At 36.5% G+C, this 20,017-nt stretch overlaps 1 protein-coding gene across 1 annotated transcript in view; it reads left to right on the top strand.

Annotated features, from left to right (window-relative positions):
* UBR3 (ubiquitin protein ligase E3 component n-recognin 3) overlaps positions 1-20,017 on the top strand; it is a 256,678-nt gene that overhangs the window by 216,356 nt on the left and 20,305 nt on the right. Inside the window, exons 33-35 of the mRNA NM_172070.4 lie at positions 11,651-11,775; positions 17,270-17,377; positions 17,509-17,634. Coding sequence (NP_742067.3) covers positions 11,651-11,775; positions 17,270-17,377; positions 17,509-17,634 — 359 coding nt within the window. The remainder of the gene's footprint in view (positions 1-11,650; positions 11,776-17,269; positions 17,378-17,508; positions 17,635-20,017) is intronic.

The raw sequence follows: 20,017 nt of genomic DNA on the forward strand, positions 1-20,017 counted from the left end.
TTTATATTATTTCTTAAAATTTTACAATAATTCAAGATTGGATTATCTTGATATTAGATTATACTGCTGTCGAACACATTGTGTAATATTTTGCTAGCTGTCATTGTGGTGATGAATTCCTCTTAGAATTTAGGGTCAGAGAAAAAAATGCCATTCCTTATTAATTTTTTTAGTCTTTCACACTTTGAGAACTGGATAGAGGCCTTTAATTCCTAGGAAGTTCAGAGCTTAATTACATTAATTTTCCACAGAGGTTTTTTTTGAGGGGAGGTGGAGAGTTGGGGAGATAAGGAGTTATTAATATAAATTTTTCTTCTCCACTCCCTTTTGATGTAAGAGTTAATAGTGGTCTTTATTGGGACAGTGTTATTATAAACTATTTTTATTGTAAGAATATGTATTTGTGTAACTGTTTAAGTTATTGTTTGTTATTAGAAGAGAAAAGCAGAGGAAGGAAATTTTACTGTTTAGACTTACTAGAACGTTAAATGCTTCCCATGGTTTTATCTGAAAAATAGATGGATGCAGAAACCTAGCTATATACCTCTTAAATCTTTTAATGCTTAGCATTGTTTTCAGGTTGAAAGACCTTTTTATGCCAATTATCTCATCAGAAGCTCAAATTAAATATATTAAAGACAAGTTTTTTTCTTTGATCTCTTATGTCCTTGCATCTTATGTTTCATAATACCCATCACATCACTGGCCTCTAAAGAATAAACTCGGAAGTAACTTCTGACATCACTGTTTTCAGGTATTCATATTTAGTTCTTTATGTACAAGGGGAAAGAAGATTTATAACTTAGGATCAGATTTGGCTATATAATATAAAGAAGAAACCAAATTAACACAGTAGCTTAAATAAGATACTACTTGTTTTTCTTTCATGTAGAAAGAAGTGTGAAAGTAGGCAGGCCGGACACTTCTACTTCACAGCACCAGATTCTTTATGGTATGGCCCTCATCTCCCTGTGCCAAGGTAGCTGCTAAGAGTTCTAGCCATCACAGTCTAGTTTAAGGCAGCAGGATGAGAGTTAAGAGAGGAACTTCACCTTCTTTTTTAAGAAGCCCTCTTAGATGATTCACACAAAATTTACAATTATTATCTCCTTAGATGATTCACACAAAATTTACAATTATTATCTCTCAGGCTAAAATTCTTTCTTATTTTTGAGCCTCCAGGGTTTAAGACATAAAATCATCATCCTTTATAGGGAGTGTATTAGTTCATTTTCATGCTGATAATAAAGACACATCTGAGACTGGGCAATTTAAAAAAGAAAGAGGTTTAATGGACTCACAGTTCCATATGGCTGGGAGGTCTCACAATCATGGCAGAAGGCAAAAGGCACGTCTTACATGGTAGCAGACAAGAGAAGAGAATGATAGCCAAGTGAAAGGGGTTTCCCTGCATGAAACCATTAGATCTCATGAGACTTATTCACTACCATGAGAACAGGATGCGGGAACCACCCCCATGATTCAGTTATCTCCCACTGGGTCCCTCCCACAACACGAGGGAGTTAAAATTATGGGAGTTAAAATTCAAGATGAGATTTGGGTGGGGAGACAATCAGACTGTATCAGGGAGGGTCAGTTACCCAGGTTTGGATCATGTTGCTGTTCTTGAGGAGCTTCACAAATCTGTTCTTAACCATGCTGTATAGAATACAGACTCCCAAGATTCTATAGAGCATTTGGGACCAGTGATTATAGAATATCCCTGCTTCCAAGATCCCATAAGCAGGGCCCAGAAAAGAGAGCTTGAATCCTGCTTATTATTTTCCATTGACTTGAAGAAAGAAAATATCTCAGTTTTGCTTTGTTATAAACCAAGGGCTTAAAAAACTATTTATTTACAAGCATACATAACAGTAAAGAGCAGAGTTTCATGAACCCCCATATCAACTCATGGCCAGTCTTGTTTCATTTATACCCTCACTTATTCCCTCCTCCCTCCCACCTGTGGTTATTTTGAAGCGAATTCCAGACCACATATCATTTTATCTCTATAGTCTTCAGTATGTATCTCTAAAAGATAAGGATTCTTAAAATAATTTTAAAAAATCGTGAACACAATTAAAAATGAACAGTTATGCCTAAATATCAGTAAATATCCCATCAGTGTTCAAATTCCATAGTTGCTTCTTGTAAATTTTTTTTTTTTTTTTTTTTTTTGGAGACAGTTTCTCTCTCGCCTAGGCTGGAATGCAGTGGCACGATCTCAGCTCACTGCAACCTCTGCCTCCTGGGTTCAAGCGATTCCCCTGCCTCAGCTTCCCAAGTAGCTAGGATTACAGGCGCCTGCTACCACACCTGGCTAATTTTTGTATTTTTAGTAGAGACAGGGTTTCACCATGTTGGCCAGACTGGTCTGAATATCCTGACCTTGTGATCCACCTGCCTCGGCCTCCTAAACTGCTGAGACTACAAGTGTGAGCCACTGTGCCCAGCCTGTAAATTATTTTTAAATATTATTTGGTTTATTTGGCTTAGGATCCAAAAAAGATCCATACATTGGATTTGGTTGTTATAGTTCTTTTAAATCTGTGGGTTGCCTCCCTCCTCCTACCTCCTTGCATTTTATTTGTTGAAGAATCTGAGTCTTTTTCCCTTTAGAACTTACCATAGTCTCTATTTTGCTACTTGTACCCCCAACAATATCATATAATAACATGATCTTCTGTCCCTGTGTGTGTCCTACAGACTGGCAGATAGATTTAGATGGAATCAGTTTCTTATTTCTTTTTACAAAAATACTTCATGGATAATGTTAAATACTTTTTTATCAGGAGATATAATTTCCAGTTGTTCCTCTTTATGTGACAGTAGAAGCTATTGATTATTCTCTAGATTTATTCCTTAATTATTTCATTTCTTAAGTGGAATTCATAAAACTAAAATTTTTTCCTATTTTTCCTATTTGTTTACACATTGGTAAAGTTGATATAGGAAAGGCAGGTTAAATGCTTGATTTTGTACCAGTTTTCAGAAAAATGACTTTTTTTTTTAGCATTCTCCAAAGATGATTGCTTTTTTCCCAGTATTATGAATTCTTGGATTTTAATATATTTAGTGTCCTTCAGTCCCATAGTAAAATAATAACTGTTTAAATACTTCAGGTTGGCTTGTATCCTATTGATGTAACCCCAACAGTCTTTGATAGCCTCTTCAGACCAAAGCTTTATTTTTTTTATTTTTTGGGGAGACAGTCTTGTTCTGTTGCCCAGGCTGGAGTACAGTGGTACAGTCATAACTCACTGCAGCCTTGACCTCCTGGGCTCAAGCAGTCCTCCTGCCTCAGACTCCCCATGTAGTTGGGACCACAGGTGCACACCACCACATTTGGCTAATTTTATTTTTTGTAGAGACGGTGGCGGTGTCGGGGGGGGGGTCTCACTTTGTTGCCCAGGCTGGTCTCGAACTCTGGGCTCAAGGAATCCACCTGCCTTGGCCTCCCAAGGTGCTGGAATTACAGGCATGAGCCACTGTGCTGGCCTAAGACCAAGGCTTTTTAGTATGTGGTTCCAGAGTTCATTAATAGGCTTTAAGAAATCCTAAAATGGTAAGGAAAAAATTGTACATATATGTGCATTTTTTTCTGAGTAGTTTCACAGCTTTTACCAGATTTTCAAAAGGATTTTGACCTCTAAAATTTAATTACTTATATATTATCCTGGGGACTCCTGGCCATATACAAATATATTTTGTAGAATCAGCAGATTACAGTGGGATGAGAAATGAGAAGGAAGTGAGAGAATTGAGACAGTGAACAGAGAGATCTTTCAAGAGAGAATGGAGGAGGAGAACAGAAGCCATACGTGATGTACAGTAGTCCCCCCTTACCCATGGTTGCACTTTCTGTGGTTTTTGTTACCAGTGGTCAACTTTGGTCCAAAAAGAGTAAATGGAAAATTCCAGAAATAAATAATTTATACATTTTAAGTTGCATGCCATTCTGAGTAGTACACTGAAATCTCATGCTGTCTTGTCCCTTTCTCCCTGGGAAATGAAGTCATCCCTTTGTCCAGTATATCCACACTGTAGATGCTACCCACCCATTAGTCATTTAGTGGCCATGTGGGCTATCAGAACAACTGTCGTGGTATCACAGTGCTTGTGTTCAAGTAACTCTTATTTTACTTAATAATGGCCCCAAAGCACAAGACTAGTGATGGTGGCGAGAAATAAAAATAAAATCTTAAGCTCCTCAACTGAACAGATGTTATTAAAGAATGATCTTTTGTTTCTTGTTTTCTAGAGCTGGCTTCTGCTTACTCCTTAGAAAATAATTCAGGTTAAAGGTTGATAAGGGAGGGGCACACTGAGGTGTGAACGATATTCTTTAGGATCATTGTGAGGATCATTCTTTAATCACATTTAGCCAATCATCTGGGGTTGCAACTGAACTCCCCTGTCCCTCTTTGCAATTTTACAATACACCCCTTCCCCAAAGCTGACCAGCATCTCTGGACTAGTTTTGGCCGATTCATGGAGGAAGTTCAGTGAGGGTTTTTGTGTCTTCTACTCTACCTTCTAGTGTCAGAGGGTCAAAACCTCACTCTGGCATCATGCTGTTGCCACCATTTTTTGAACACGCAACCCATGAAGAGGCATGAAGCTAAATTGCTCATGTGCGTGTTTCTCCTTTCATAAATACTCATGACTCTTCCTATAGCTTATTGAACGTGTACACTTAGCCACCCTATTTAGCATAAATTCCTGACCTTCCTCAAAGGACTTGCTCTTGGCTTATGCTAGAGGCTGTGATTCCCAGCTTGCTGATGGCTAGCCTGCAGGATGCAACCTTTTATGAGAAATAAAGCCCTCGTTTCCAAATTCGTAAACCTTGTGTTTCTTAAGTTGACACTGGCAATTTGGATACGCCAAAGAGAAACTAAAGTTTTTTCTTTTAAGTGAAAAGGTGAAAATTCCTTACTTAAAAAGGAAAGGAAAAAAATTGTATGCTGAGGTTACTAAGATCTTTGGTAAGAATGAGTCTTCTATCCATGAAATTATGAAGAAGGAAAAACAAATTTGTGCTAGTTTCACAATCACACCTTAAATAGTAAAAGTTATGGCCATAGTACAGTAAATAATTTTGAGAGATCAGATTTTCATAATTTTTATTATAATTGTTCTATATTATTGTTAATGTCTTATTGTGTCTAATTTATAAATTAAACTTTATCATAGGTATGTATGTACAGTTGACCCTTGAACAACACAGAGGCTAAGGGTGTGGTCCCCCTTTACTTCTCCACTTCCCACCCCACTCCACCATGCAGTTGAATCCACTGCACATATTTTTTGATTTCCCAAAAACTTAGCTACTAATAGCCTATTGCTGACCAGAAGCCTTACCAATAACACTGTCAATTAACACATAATTTATGTTATATGTATTACGTACTTTATTCTCACAATGTAAGGCTAGAGAAAAGAAAACATTATTAAGAAAATTATAAGAGAGAAAATATATTTACTATTCATTAAGTGGAAGTGGATCATCATAAAAGTATTCATCCTTGTCATCTTCATGTTGAATAGGCTAAGGAAGAGGAAGGGTTGATCTTGCTGTCTCAGGGGTGGCAAAAGTGGAAGAAAATCCTTGTATGAGTAGACCTGCACAGTTCAAACCCATCTTGTTACATAGTACTGCAGATGTAGGATTCAGAACTATCCGCAGTTTCAGACATCCCCTGGGGTCTTGGAGTGTATCTCCTGAGGATAAGGGGGGGATTACTATTTCAAAGGGGTTATTTTTTGTTTTTAAGATAGGAGAATTGTGAGCATCTTTAAGTGTTTGCCATTTATCCATTCTTTACTTAATAACTCATGATGGTCCTTTACCTTGTGTTGCCCTTTCTAGAAGCCTTTCTATTGGATATCCTTTTTCTCATTGCCATAATAACTTCTCCGTGATTCTGTTTTGATACTTGTCTGACTTGTCTGATTTTCTTTACTATCGCCCTCTCCAGACTGTCAGTTCCTCCAAGACTAGCAGCACTATCTATCCTAATGCCCACTTGGTACATCATATGTTCAGTAAATGCTTTGGGGATACAGTGGATGTGTTAAAAACACAATACTCTTATTTTATGGTAAATTGCTTATTTTCCATTTTAAAATTCAAGAAAGCTATTACTTTCATTTGAATCTTTAACACTTATATTGTGATCACTTCTATATAATGTTTTTTGAGAATGTTGGCAGTTTATTGGACCCAAAATTCAATTGCCTGAAGTATACCCAAAGGACCAGCATTTACTACCCTATTAGTTGTTAGACGGACTTGGTATCTTTTCTTGGTTCTATGTTGACTAAGGCAAATGAAGTCTTTTTAAACCGTTTGGATTCTTCACTCATCAGAGAGAAAATAGACTTGAGTTTTTCACACAGAAAAGAACATCACAAATTGATTTTTCTTGTAGACTAGACTTTTTGGAGAGGGTCAGAGCACATGTAGTTAGTAACTCCAAATCATAAAAGGTAAGACTGAGAAGATTTGACATCTGCATGTGGTATATGCAAAGTGCTTTATGGAAGCAGTGGAATAGTATTTTTACAAAAAATTATCATGGTGATAGGAACAGAATAAAATGTCTGATACCTTCTTCAGATCATGTCCTGTTTACCTGTGTGCTCTTCCCCTAGGGATTTTGTTATTTTAGATATACTCTACCTTGTCTTAAAAGAAACTACAGGTAGTTTGCTTCTAAGGCATTTCAAGTAAGTATTGATCTTCCTTTGTTCGTCCTCAGGTATTTTGATAGTTTTTTTTGTTGTTATTGTAGTTTTTAAACACATTGACTTAGATTAGATGTCCAATCCTTTTTTGTTCTTTTTAAATGTTGATAATTGTATTTGAAGGACTTTGTTTTCTGTTTTAATGTTGGTAGTTAGCAGCCTGTTGACCTAATATAAACCTCATGTGAGAGATTCCTTGTTTCTTGTAGGTCCCTAAAAGATGTTGGTGTTACACATGGCAAGCATTCAATAAATAAACATCTGTTAAATGAACAAGTGAATATGAGAACTTAAGCCTTGACTTTAAATTGCCAGTTAATCATCCATTGGTATCCATGGGAGATTGGTTCCACGACCCCCTGCCAATTCCAAAATGCACAGATACTCAAGTCCCTTACATAAAATGGTGTAGTATTTGCATATAACCTACACATATCTTCTCATATACTTTAAATCATCTCTAGATTACTTAGTACAATATAAATGTTATATAAATAGTTGTTATACTGTATTTTTTAGGGCATAATGAGAAGGGCAAAAGTCTGTACATGTTCAGTACAGACACAACCATCTATTTTTTTTTTCCAAATACTTTTGAGCCATGATTGGCTGAATCCATGGATGAGGAGCCCACAGGTACAAAGAGCTGACTGTATTTTTTTAAATGATGATAATCAAGACAGACAAATGGACTAAAACCAGAAATTAGTACTTTTCTACAATGAAAAGCTAAAACTATAGTGGCTATCATTTCTTTTAGTACATTACTTCTATTTTATTTATTTTATTATTATTATTTTTGAGACAGAATTTCACTCTTGTTGCCCAGGCTGGAGTGCAATGGCACCATTATCAGCTCACTGCAAACGCCATCTCTTGGGTTCAAGTGATTTTCCTGCCTCAGCCTTCCAAGTAGCTGGGCTTACAGGCACCCGCCACCACGCCCGACTAATTTTTTGTATTTTTAGTTGAGACGAGGTTTCACCATGTTGGCCAGGCTGGTCTCAAACTCCTGACCTCAGGTGATTCACACACCTTGGCCCCCAAAGTGCTGGGATTACAGGCGTGAGCCACCGCGCCCGGCCACATCACTTCTTTTTAGTAAAAGAAAAAATATATGTATGTATAGTTTAAGAAGAAGCTATATGTCAGTGGTGTTTCTACACAATATAAATGACTTTCTGGTTAGGATGTTTTTGTTTGTACTTAATAGACAAATTCTGTAATGTCTGTCACTTATTAAAATATTTCATTAAATGATGGAATATTTTTCTTGACTTTGACGGCACCATCCTTTCCTAGTTCTTCTACTGTCTCATTTCCTACTCATTTTCAGGCTCTTTTTAAATGAATTGTTCTTTATTTACTGTCCTCTTCCTTCACAATTTTATCTTTTTTCCCATAGCTTTAACTATACCTATTATCTGATGATTCCCAAATCTCTAGCTTTAGACTACAACTCCCCAGTGAGTTCCAGACTTGAATTTTTAGACATGCCTCAAACTCAGTATATATAATGTTAATTTTCTACCTATCCAAGCCTGCTCTCATCCTCTGTTTTACATTTTAGTCAATGCTGCTACGTCTATGAGATACCACCATCACCCTCTACCTCCAAAGGTCCATGAAATCCTATAATTTCTGTCATCTAAATATTTCTCTAATATGACTCATTCTGATTGTTGACTCATTGTTTTTCCTTAGTTCTGGGCATCCTGAAACTGTATGGAGGTTCCTCAAAAAACTAAAATAGAACTACTGTATCATCCAGTAGTCCCACTTCTGGGTGTACATCCTAAGGAAGTAAAATCAGTATCTCAAAGAGACATCTGCACTCCACTCCCATGTTCATTATGGCTTTAATCACAATAGCCAAGATATGGAAACCACCTAAGTGTCTGTCAATGGATGAATAAAGATAATGTGGCATATAAGTACACTGGGACGTTATTTAGCCTTAAAAAAGAAGGAAATCTTGCCATTTGCGACAGCATGGATGAACCCATAGGACATTATGCTAAATGAAATAAGCCACAAAAAGAGAAATACTGCATGATCTCACTTATATGTGGAATCTAAACAAGTCAAAATAGAGAGTAGGAGGGTGGTTCACATGGGACAGGGAGGTGGGGAAAATGGGGAGATGTTGGTCAACGGGTGTGTACTTTCAGTTATAAGATGAATAAGTTCTGGAGATCTAATATACAACATGATGACTATAGCTGTAATATTCTCTTGTATACTTAAAATGCACTAAGCAAAGAGATCTTAAGTATTCTCAGTGCACACACATACACACAGACACATGTAACCATATGGGATGATGAATATGTTAGTTAACTTGATGTGACCATCATTTCACAGTGTATGCTTATATCAAAACTACATTGTCTACCTTCAATAATATAATTTTTGTCAATTATACCTCAGTAAAGCTGGAGGAAAAATAAAAGATCATTCTGGCTGGAATAAGGAAAGTAGATTGCAGGGGGCTGAGAGGTGATACAGATAAACTACTGTGCTGGAAAGAATTAACATAGAAGGCCTGACTGCTGTCCTTTGAAAGGCCTGCTTGCAAGGTTAGGCCTTGACTAGCATCTGGGAACTTGGATTTCAGGAGGGGTCCCACCATTCCCAGAATTGATAAGAGTGGCACACTATGCCTAAATTGTTTGTACAAAGAGTATGGTTTATGCCGAATGTACCTGCTTTCCTCTTGAGAGTCTGGAATTTTGGTATGTACTAGGAAGAGAGTACCTGCATGACCCCAGTAAAAACCTTGGGCACTGAGTCTCTAATGAGATACCCTGGTATCCATTTCCTACGTGCCATCACAGCTGGTTGTTGCTGGGGGAGTTTAGCACATCCTGTGTGGTTCTACTGGAAGAAGACTCTGGAAGTTTCCTCTGGACTTCACCCAATGTGCCTTTTTTCCCTTTGCTGATTTTAACTTTTATCCTTTTGCAGTCATAAGTCATAACAGCTATGAGTATGACTCTGTACTCAGTCTTTTAAGTCCTCCTAGTGAATCATCAAACCTGGCAGTGGTCTTGGGGACCCCCAACACAGCCACTTTAGCTGGGATTATAGGTCTAGGCAAGAAAGGATGGAAGTCTAGTCCAGGGTGTTGAAACTGACGAGAAATATTTAAAAAGTAGAATTAACAGGACTTGGTGATTATTTTAATGGGGAAATTGTCAAGAATATCTGCAAGTTTTTGACTCCAGCAACTGATTAAATGGTAGTATCCATTTACTAGGGGAGGAGTATAATATAATAGAAGGAACACTGAACCTGAAGAAAAATGATCTATATGGATTCAAGTTCAGACCTGGGTGCTTATTAGCTTTGATATCACAAGCACATCTTTCTGAAGCTCAGTTATCCTGTTGAGACTGTTTTGAGGATTGAATGAGACACTTGAAGAAAATTGCTAAGTTATTAGGTAAATATAAATGTTAATTATCAGTATTAAAGCTTCCATTTATTAAGTACCTAATATGTGCCAGAAGCTACCAGGCACTTTACATATTGTTACTACTATTTCATATTGCTAAGTTTTTTATTTTTATTTTTATCTTTATTTGAGACAGGCTCTCACTCCATTGCCCAGGCTGGAGTTAAGTGGAGTGATCTTGGATTACTATAGCCTTCCCTTCTGAGCTCAAGTGATCCTCTGCCTCCCAAGTAGCTAGGATGACAGGTGCTTGTCACCACACCCAGCTTTTTTTTTTTTTTTGGAGACAGAGTCTCACACTGTTGCCTGGGCTGGAGTGCAATGCCAGAATCTTGGCTCACTGCAACCTCCGCCTCCCGGGTTCAAGCGATTCTCCTGCCTCAGCCTCCCAAGTAGCTGATATTACAGGCACCCGCCACCATGCCTGGCTTATTTTTTGTATTTTTTAGTAGAGACAGGGTTTCACTATGTTGGCCAGGCTGGTCTCAAACTCCTGACCTTGTGATCCGCCCACCTCAGCCTCCCAAAGTGCTGGGATTACAGGCGTGAGCCACCGCCCCTGGCCACACCCAGCTATTTTTAAAAATTTTTGTAGAGAGGGGGTCTGTGTTGCCCAGGCTTATTGCTATAGTTTTCATTAAATTCTGAAGCCAAATTAGTAACCTAAACATCAAGATTTTTTTTAACTTTGTAAGATTTATATCATATTCCATATAATACTATCCTTATTAAGATGTGCATCATATAGGGGTAGATGATGTGTTGGTTTTAAACATTGAGACTCCCAAACGTTGTTATTGAGCATGTGAAGCCCAGGAAGGGCATTTGCCAGGGTTCCACAGCTATTCCAAGGTTGAATGGCATTAGCACTCTGGTCTTCTGAAAGAGAGCACCCTTTCCACTATGCTGAGTACTTCTCATTTATATGTTCTTTGGATGAATAGAGGAATTTTGCTTTCATAATTTCAGATCTGTTGGGCAGCAAATATAATAGTACATTATAATTTCAGACTCTCATGTCTCTAACCCCAGCTCTTTGGGAGGCTGCAGTGGGAGGATTGCTTGAGCCCAAGGAATTTGAGACTAGCCTGGGCAACATAGGGAGGCCCCATCTCTACAAAAAATAAAAAGCTAATCAGGCGTAGTGGCACATGCCTGTAGTCCCAGCTACTGTTGGGCGGGGCAGATTACAGGCTGAGATGAGAGGATCGCTTGAGCTTGGGAGGTCGAGGCTTCAGTAAACTGTGATCATGCCACTGTACTCCAGGCACCACACTGCCTGGGTGACAGACTGAGACCTCGTCTCAAAAACAAACAAAAAAACTATTAAGTGTTGAAAACAAAAACCAATTACATATGCAAGGAAAGGCATATATTTGTAAAACTATGTTGAGTACAAAATATCTAGATTCCAAAGAAATAATGATTTTTTTTCTCTTGCAGACCACTTTACCTGCATTGTGAAGGTACTTTTTACCCTACTGTACACACAGGCTCTTGCAGCACTCTCAGTTAAATGCAGCGAAGAAGATAGGTCAGCCTGGAAACACGCGGGAGCTCTCAAAAAGGTTAGGCTCTTTCTAAATTTGTCATTTAGCAGGTAGGTGAAGTCATTTAAGCTGGGGATATTGAGTGAATAAGAGTAGGTGTTACAAAATGAGTTATTGGTATTTTAATTGTAAATTGAGCACCTACAGGCTAAAAAATGTTTAAAATGTTTTCACTAAACAATGAGGACTTCTATATCTGTCTCTAAACCTCATCCTTTTATCCCTTTATATTTGAGCAGTTTTGTTTTGCTTTTTCTGCAAGCCTTAAACTTAGAGAAGTTATAAAAATTGTGCTAACACAGTGAGCACATGATAAAATATCTGCAGACTTATCTATTTTATTCGCCACTTTTTCTTTTTGTCCCTATCCCCAATCACAATCCAAAGATAGCTTTTGATGCACCACTTCTAAATTTAAAATCCTAGTCTTTTCTTTCTTTTTTTTTTTTTTTTTTTTTTGTGGCAGACTCTCTGTCTGTCACCTAGGCTGGAGTGCAGTGGTACAATCTCAGCTCACTGCAACCTCTGCCTCCTGGGTTCAAGCAATTCTCCTGCCTCAGCCTTCTGAGTAGCTGGGACTATAGGCGCCTGCCACCATGCCCAGCTAATTTTTGTATTTTTAGTAGAGACAGGGTTTCACCATGTTGGCCAGGCTGGTCTTGAACTCCTGACCTTGTGATCCGCCCACCTCAGCCTCCCAAAGTGCTGGGATTACAGGCATGAGCCACCGCGCCCGGCCAGTCCTAGCCTTTTCTTAATTATGCATCTTGAAATATTACCTTTTTTCTTGTTAGAATATGTACAAGTTCTTAGGAAACTCAAAGGAACTCAGTTTAAGCTAAATTATGCAAACTATTTAGAAAAATTATGCTAAATGTAAATACTTTCAGTAGCTTGAGAACAAATGAGATACTATAGAGTTATAGAACCGAAGAACTGAGTGGTTCAGCTTAGAGACAGATAAAAGAAGAAAATTGCTTCAGTGTTTATTTGTAGAAGTTGGTAGGAAAAATAATAGGTATAGTGTAAATTGAACCTTTTGATTGGCTCACAGAGTCTTAAGGGGTTTTTAAATGTCATTAAAACTTTTTTTGTTGAAATTATATCTACTTGTATCAAAGGAGAGAAAACCAATTATAAATACATGAAATGTATTCAATATAACCTTCACTGTTATCATCAGTTTACTCTCATATCACAATTATGTGTACATTTAATATCGTATCATCACAGAGTTCACTGTGTCTTAATTATGGGTTAAGAATAATTATTTATTATGTGTCAGTTGGCCATCAAACCCAAGTACAAGGCCAATCTCCTGCTACTAAATAGAGATGTTACTTTTTTAGTCAAAACATAACTGTCTAAGCCTCAGCTTTCTCAAAGGTAAATGAAAGGTTTGGACCATATGATTTATAAGGGCACTTCTATTTCAATTCTGTTATTCTAAATTCTCAAAATTAATTTCTGTCTTTCTTGAAAGATTTTTTCCCCCTTGTTGCTGGTTAATTCTTGGACAGTTTTTCTTTTTGTAATTATCTTTAGTTTTTTCTTTTTTTTTTTTTTTTTGAGACAGGGTCTCATTGTCACCCAGGCTGTAGTGCAATGGTATGATCAGGGCTCACTGCAGCCTCAACCTCCTGGGCCCAAGGGATCCTCCCACCTCAGCCCTGACGAGTAGTTGGGGCTACAGGCTTGTGCCACCACACACAGCTGATTTTTTGTATTTTTAGTAGAGCTGGGTTTTTACCATGTTGCCCAGGCTGGTCTTGAATTCCTGGACTCAAGGTAATCCACCTGCCTTGGCCTCCCAAAGTGCTGGGATTACAGGCATGAGCCACCTTGCCTGGCCTATTTTTCCTAAATATTCTTTTAATTTTTCTGACTGCAATGTAATCTGATATTTGGATTGTTAGTGTTCAGATAGTATTCAAATGAGGTATATTAGGTTTCTGTGCTGTGTCATTATTTAAATGTTTCCTTAGTAAGCTGTCTAATCATGAAAAATAACACATTTAAGAAATTTGCTGATAAAATTTGGGTCTAACTATTTACAATTGTAAATCTATGAAGGGAGGAACATGATGTAATTTAGGTAACTGGTCCAGTTTTTTTCTGAACCTCGTAATTGTTAGTTATTTTTAAAAAACACTTAATAAAATACTTTATATGAGACAGATTCTTATCAGAACATTAATTAGAAGTATATTGGCTTATAGCCATATAAATATATATTAGTGTATTAGTTTATAGCTATATAAATATATAATTTTCTTTAGTGAAAGAAAATTAAAAATTACGATAGTCTGTAGGTTGATTTACTACGTTATTAGCTTTTTCTATAATAGACATAAACATTTAGATACATAGCAGTTTGTAAATGCCTGTAATACCAACAACTATACTGTAATACACTATTTTATGTTAGGAACTTGAGGATCTATGGATTTTGGTTTCCAAGGGGTGGTTCCTGGAACCCATCCATCATGGAAACTGGGAGACAACCATATTTATGAGTGATGAAATATACCACTGTGACCTCTGTAACTACTTAGATTTCTGCATCATTGATTACTCTTATTTTTTCACTTCCTTCTTTACGTCTTCTCTCACCCCTTTCCTTCCTTTCTTCCTTTCTTCATTGAATTTCACTTATTCGCTTCATCTCTTTAATTGCTTATGTTTGGCATACTAATTGTAATGAAAACGTATTTTTGCCAGATCTCATCTGGCCTATGGTAGTAAAAATATCGGTATTATATATTATTTGAAGGGGTGTTAATTTGATAATGAGATTTAGTTCTGAAAAAGTCATCATTCCAGTTAGTGTAACTCATACTTTTTTGGTCAATGGAATTTCTGCTAAGAGTCTTTATACTAGAATTTCTTTTCTTTTTTCTTTTTCTTTTTCTTTCCTTCCTTCCTTTTCCTTTCTTTCTTTTCTTATCTTTTCTTCCTTTTTTTTTTTTGACAGGGTCTCACTCTATCGCCCACGTTGGAGTGCAGTGGCATGATCACAGCTCACTGCAACCTCAAACTCCTGGGCTCAATTGATCCTCCCACCTCAGCCTCTGAAGTAGCTAGGACTACAGGCACACACCACCACACCTGGCTAACTTTCCCATTTTTTGTGGGGAGGAAGTCTTGCTGTGTTGCCCAGGCTGGTCTTGAACTCCAGGCCTCAAGCAATCCTCCCACCTTGGCCTCCCAAAGTGCTGGGATTACAGGCGTGAGCCACCATGCCCAGCCTACTAGAATTTCTTAGTCTGGGATCCTTGGATAGGTTTTGTTGTTTTGTTTGCTGGGGTGTGGTATCATAGCATCCAAAACATATTGAAATCAAAAACTTTAAGAAATACTGTAATTTAGACAAAGTATTCTACCCAGCACAGACTCTCTTGCATCTCTCGACCCTTGATCCTTTTTTAAATTTAACCCACATACTTTTGCCACCTCCCCCTTAGGATTCTTCTTATCTCGATTTTAGGTCTTTCATCCATGTTCTCAGAAATCATCTTTCTTAAGCTTCAAGAGCCTACTTTTTCGTTTATTCAAAGATTGCCTATATAAAATATTTTTCTTAATACTTTGTATTGTGAAGAAGTCTCAATACAAAGCAGTGAACATTACATTATATTTAACTTTCTGATATGATATAAAATTTGCCATGTGTAAAATAAGTGCTCAAAATGTATTTGTTAATAATGACTTAAAAGTCAAGTTATCACTCAGTGACTTACTTAGCTGATCTGAACAGAAATACTCTTCTGTTGTACTCTTTGAATCTTTTACTCAGAAAAGTATATTGAATTTAGGAAGCTTTTAGACTGAATTGTACATTTAGAGAAACTTAACTATGCCACATTGATTAATAAATAGCAAATCTGTGGTAGTTTGAGTTTTCTACAAATCTATGGTAGTGTTTTGAGTTTAGGTGAACTCTGCCTATTTAAGAGATAATTTACTTAAATCAATTTTAAAAACATGATACATTGCTGTTTTGATATTTAGCGAGATATTGATTCTTGTGAATTATATGTAATCTATAGGTTATTAATATTTAACACGTAATCATACTGGTGATTAATTAGGTAAGGATGGGGCAAGTCACATGATATAAGGAGAACCACCGCAGAGTCAGAGTCGTTTTTATAGTTTAGAATCAGGACATAATACTACATGGCTGAGTGAATATGGCGGAAAGCACAGGAGCAATTTAAAGATAATGCAAAGAAGTGATTATCAGAAGAGGCACACCCAAGCAAGTTCCAAGGTCCAATACTCCAAAACTTCAGTATTACCAAAATAAATTTCATCAGTTAATTAGCAGGTATTTCTTGCTCAGATTTTTGTTATGCAGAGGGATACGTGGGAAATAAAAAGCATAGTTCATGATATTTTGGAATTTACAGTCTAGTTGGAAAGAGCACAGTAACATGAACGAAACAATGAGGAACTATAGAAAGACCAAATATCATCCAATAATAAATTCTCTGATCCAAACTATCAGTGCCTTAAAAGTTTAGGTTAAACTTACATTCTGTGGTGTTTATCCCTTCCTATATTTTAGGATTTTAAAAGTATAGTTAATAAGTAGAATAAAGGACATCATAGCAGTTCTGACTTTATCCCAATTTACATTTTATGGTAATTTGCATGTTACACTTTATATTTCAGTGAATATAAAAAGAACTGCATTTCTTTATGTATAAAGATCTTATTGACATAAATTTGAATTCATAAAAAGCCATTATTTTTTCTTTCTGATAAAAATGGAAGTAGGACACTAAGATCAACTTGTAGACTGTTACTTAATGTCATTATCTGAATATTCTGTAATAAATATATTGTCCTATTTTATTTTTATAGTGTATTATTTTAATAAATCCTCAAAGACATTTGAGGGAAATTGTAAATGAAAAAAATTTGTGGTCTATATTTTTTCTATTGTATGCATATGTTATATGCATATATTATACCACTATAATGACTATATCTTTTTTAAATTTGGCTCTTTTCACATTGTAAATATTTTTCGTACAGCTTAAATTTGCCACATTCGCTGCTTAGAAAATGTTTTTTAAGTTGGTATTCCATTTTTTAGGTAACTCCCTCAGTCTTGCTGGTCATTTCTAGGTTCTTGCTGTAATAGTGCTGTACTGGATGTCTTGTACATATAGCTATTTTTTTTCTTTTGGATTATATCCCTGGAAAGAATTCCCAGGGGTGGGAATTACTTGGTCAAAAAACATGATTTACATATGTTTATTTACATATAATTATGTAATTTATATGCTGTCTTTTAAAGAAGTGTTGGAATAGCTTTGACCAACTACCCAGTTTCATTGTGAATCCAGAGGTGTACAGTTTTACCCAAATTTTGAAGAATTGAAGCTCATATGCTTGAAAAATAATATAATCACAGTTTTACTCTACTCATTAAAAATTATTTCCAATGTAAATTTTTTATAATTTTCAGTGACCAGTGTAACCAATATTTTAATTTTTTCAGAGTACATGTGATGCAGAAAAGTCTTACGAAGTATTACTGAGCTTTGTGATAAGTGAACTATTTAAAGGAAAGTTATACCATGAAGAAGGAACTCAGGAATGTGCAATGGTATGTTTCTGCAAAAATCAGATGTAGCGGTTATTTAGTAAAAAATTTACATTTTCTTGCCATTATGAATGTAATTTTTAAAAACTCTTTATTGTAGACTGACTTGTTCAAATTTTCTTTTTTAACTTTAGGTTAACCCTATTGCTTGGTCTCCTGAATCCATGGAAAAATGCTTACAGGACTTCTGCTTACCTTTTCTCAGAATCACCAGCCTTCTTCAGCACCACCTTTTTGGGGAAGATTTACCTAGCTGCCAGGTAGATAATTTGGGATATGTAAGAGGGAGCTTTTTTTTTTTTCAGATGGAGTCTCTCTCTGTTGCCCAGACTGGAGTGCAGTGGCACAATCTCGGCTTACTGCAACCTCCGCCTGCCAGGTTCAAGCAATCCTCCTCCCTCAGCCCCTCTAGTAACTGGGATTACAGGCACACACCACCAGGCCCAGCTAATTTTTGTATTTGTAGTAGAGACAGGGTTTCACCACATTGGCCAGGCTGGTCTCAAACTCCTGACCTCAGGTGATCTACCTGCCTCGGCCTCCCAAAATGCTGGAATTACAGGCATGAGCCACCGCACTAGCCAAGCCTTGTTTTTATAATAAGCTATTTTGTTTTAAATATACTGGTATGTAGTGTAGTACATATGTAACTGTCATATGACTATATGTTAATCTAGCTTAAAGGAATAAATATTTAGGATATTTACTATTTTTGTTGTATTTGTTAACATCCACCCATTTTTATGATAATATTACTAATATTGGATATTTGAGCAGCTTTGGATTAGATCAATGATGATACATTCCCAGTACTTGATGAATAGGACCATAGGATTCAGTCTTATTGACATTTGTGTCCCTAACATCGTCTGCTTTTAATATTCTTTTAAAAGTTATGTTGGTCAGAAAACCGGTTGGTTGAAGATATGACAGCATTTATAGCAGTATTCAGTTTGTAGCCAGTTGTATTAAAATGGGTGAATGAATTATCACTGGTTTAATCTATTTCATAAAACTGTGGATTGATATGAGTGGGCAAGAAAGTGACAGGGTAGGAAACCAGAAGGTAAGTAAACCCAAACTGTGCTTATAGGAATGTGATCCTGACTTATCTGCCATTCAGTTCTAGGGAATTTGATGTGGAAATTAAACATTTATCATATTTATGGCCTTTGAATCCTGAAGTACATCAGAATTAAGCAGTTTTGTGTTCCCTTTTTCTTAAGTAATTCACCATTACATTAAATAGTTTTGAATTCTTTCATTTTTATCAAGTGCTTCAAGACATATGCTGCACATTTGTCACCAAAACATTCTTTTTAGAGTTATAAGATGTTGAACAAATTCTTAGAATAATCATTCATTAGATATTTTCTTTCACAGTTTTTAAATTTTATATTTTAAAAAAGTGTGTTTCTTTCTGGCATATGGGCATCCTCAAGCATGGAGAAGAGTAACCAAACAAAATCAACTTCTTTTACCACCTGTACTTTTTTCACATTTAAAGGCCATTGGCTGTGGTTCTCTCTGTTCTTGTTACCTTATGGCTTATTTTGTCATTTGTTTTTATGAGAAAGTATTTTTTGCCCATAAGTTGGAAAGTATGTGGAGGCAGAAGTTCTTGAGCTGGGCGTTGAAAGTTGGTCTGGTGTTTGAGTGTACAGTGATGCCTGTAGTGGAATACCACACATATTTAGACCAAGAAAGAAATACATTCAATATGTTGCATAGAAAGGAACAGTGTGACATAGTGAAGAAAGAGATTAAAATATAGTTGTAATGGATCTTGAATTTCATATGAGGGAATTTGGACCATTGAAAGATGTTAGACAAAAATATGATATGATTCAAATTGTGTTTCAGGATAAAACCTCATTCTAGTATAAGACAGATTGTGAAGAATAGACAGATGGGAACAGAATAGACCAGTTAGGAAAGGACATACTGGGAATAGAAGAGGCTGGAGAGCGATTAGAGATTCAGAGATAAAATAGGATGTGACAACTAGTTGAATGTGTGAGAGTCAAGAGAAAAGGAAGAATCATACTATACTTGTTTCTTGAGACCGAGAGACATGAACTTTTAGGGAAAACTTAATAGAAGGAGGAAATACAGGGCAGATGCACAGGGGATGGAATGAAAGTACTTTGTGTATATTCAGATTGAGGGATAGTTGGACCCTTTAGGCGGACCTGTTCAACTGAAGTGAGAAAAGTGAGATCAGAGCTTTAGATAGAAATTTGTTCTCCTTTTATTTAGTTTCTGTCATCTGTGTAATCTTACTTTGTTTGTGTATACAGTAGTACCCCCTTATCTGCGATTTTGCTGTGGCTTTTGTTACCCATGGTATACTGCAATCTGAAAATATTAAATGAAAAATTCCAGAAAAAAACTATTCATAAGTTTTAAATTGCACACCATTCTGAGTAGCATGATGAAATCTCATGCTGTCTTGTTTGGGACATAAATCCTGTCTCACACTGTCCTACTAGGAACATAAATCATCTTTTTGTCCAGCATATTCATGCTGTCATCTTCCAATATATTTTTCCCACATCGATTTATTTTTCACTGATGAACATCCAGGCTGCCTCCAACTCTTTGCTTCCATGGAAAAAAATTAACTCTTGCTATGAACCTAAT

This window comes from Homo sapiens, chromosome 2 (genome assembly GCF_000001405.40).
Source record: "Homo sapiens chromosome 2, GRCh38.p14 Primary Assembly".
Classification (NCBI taxonomy): domain Eukaryota; kingdom Metazoa; phylum Chordata; class Mammalia; order Primates; family Hominidae; genus Homo; species Homo sapiens.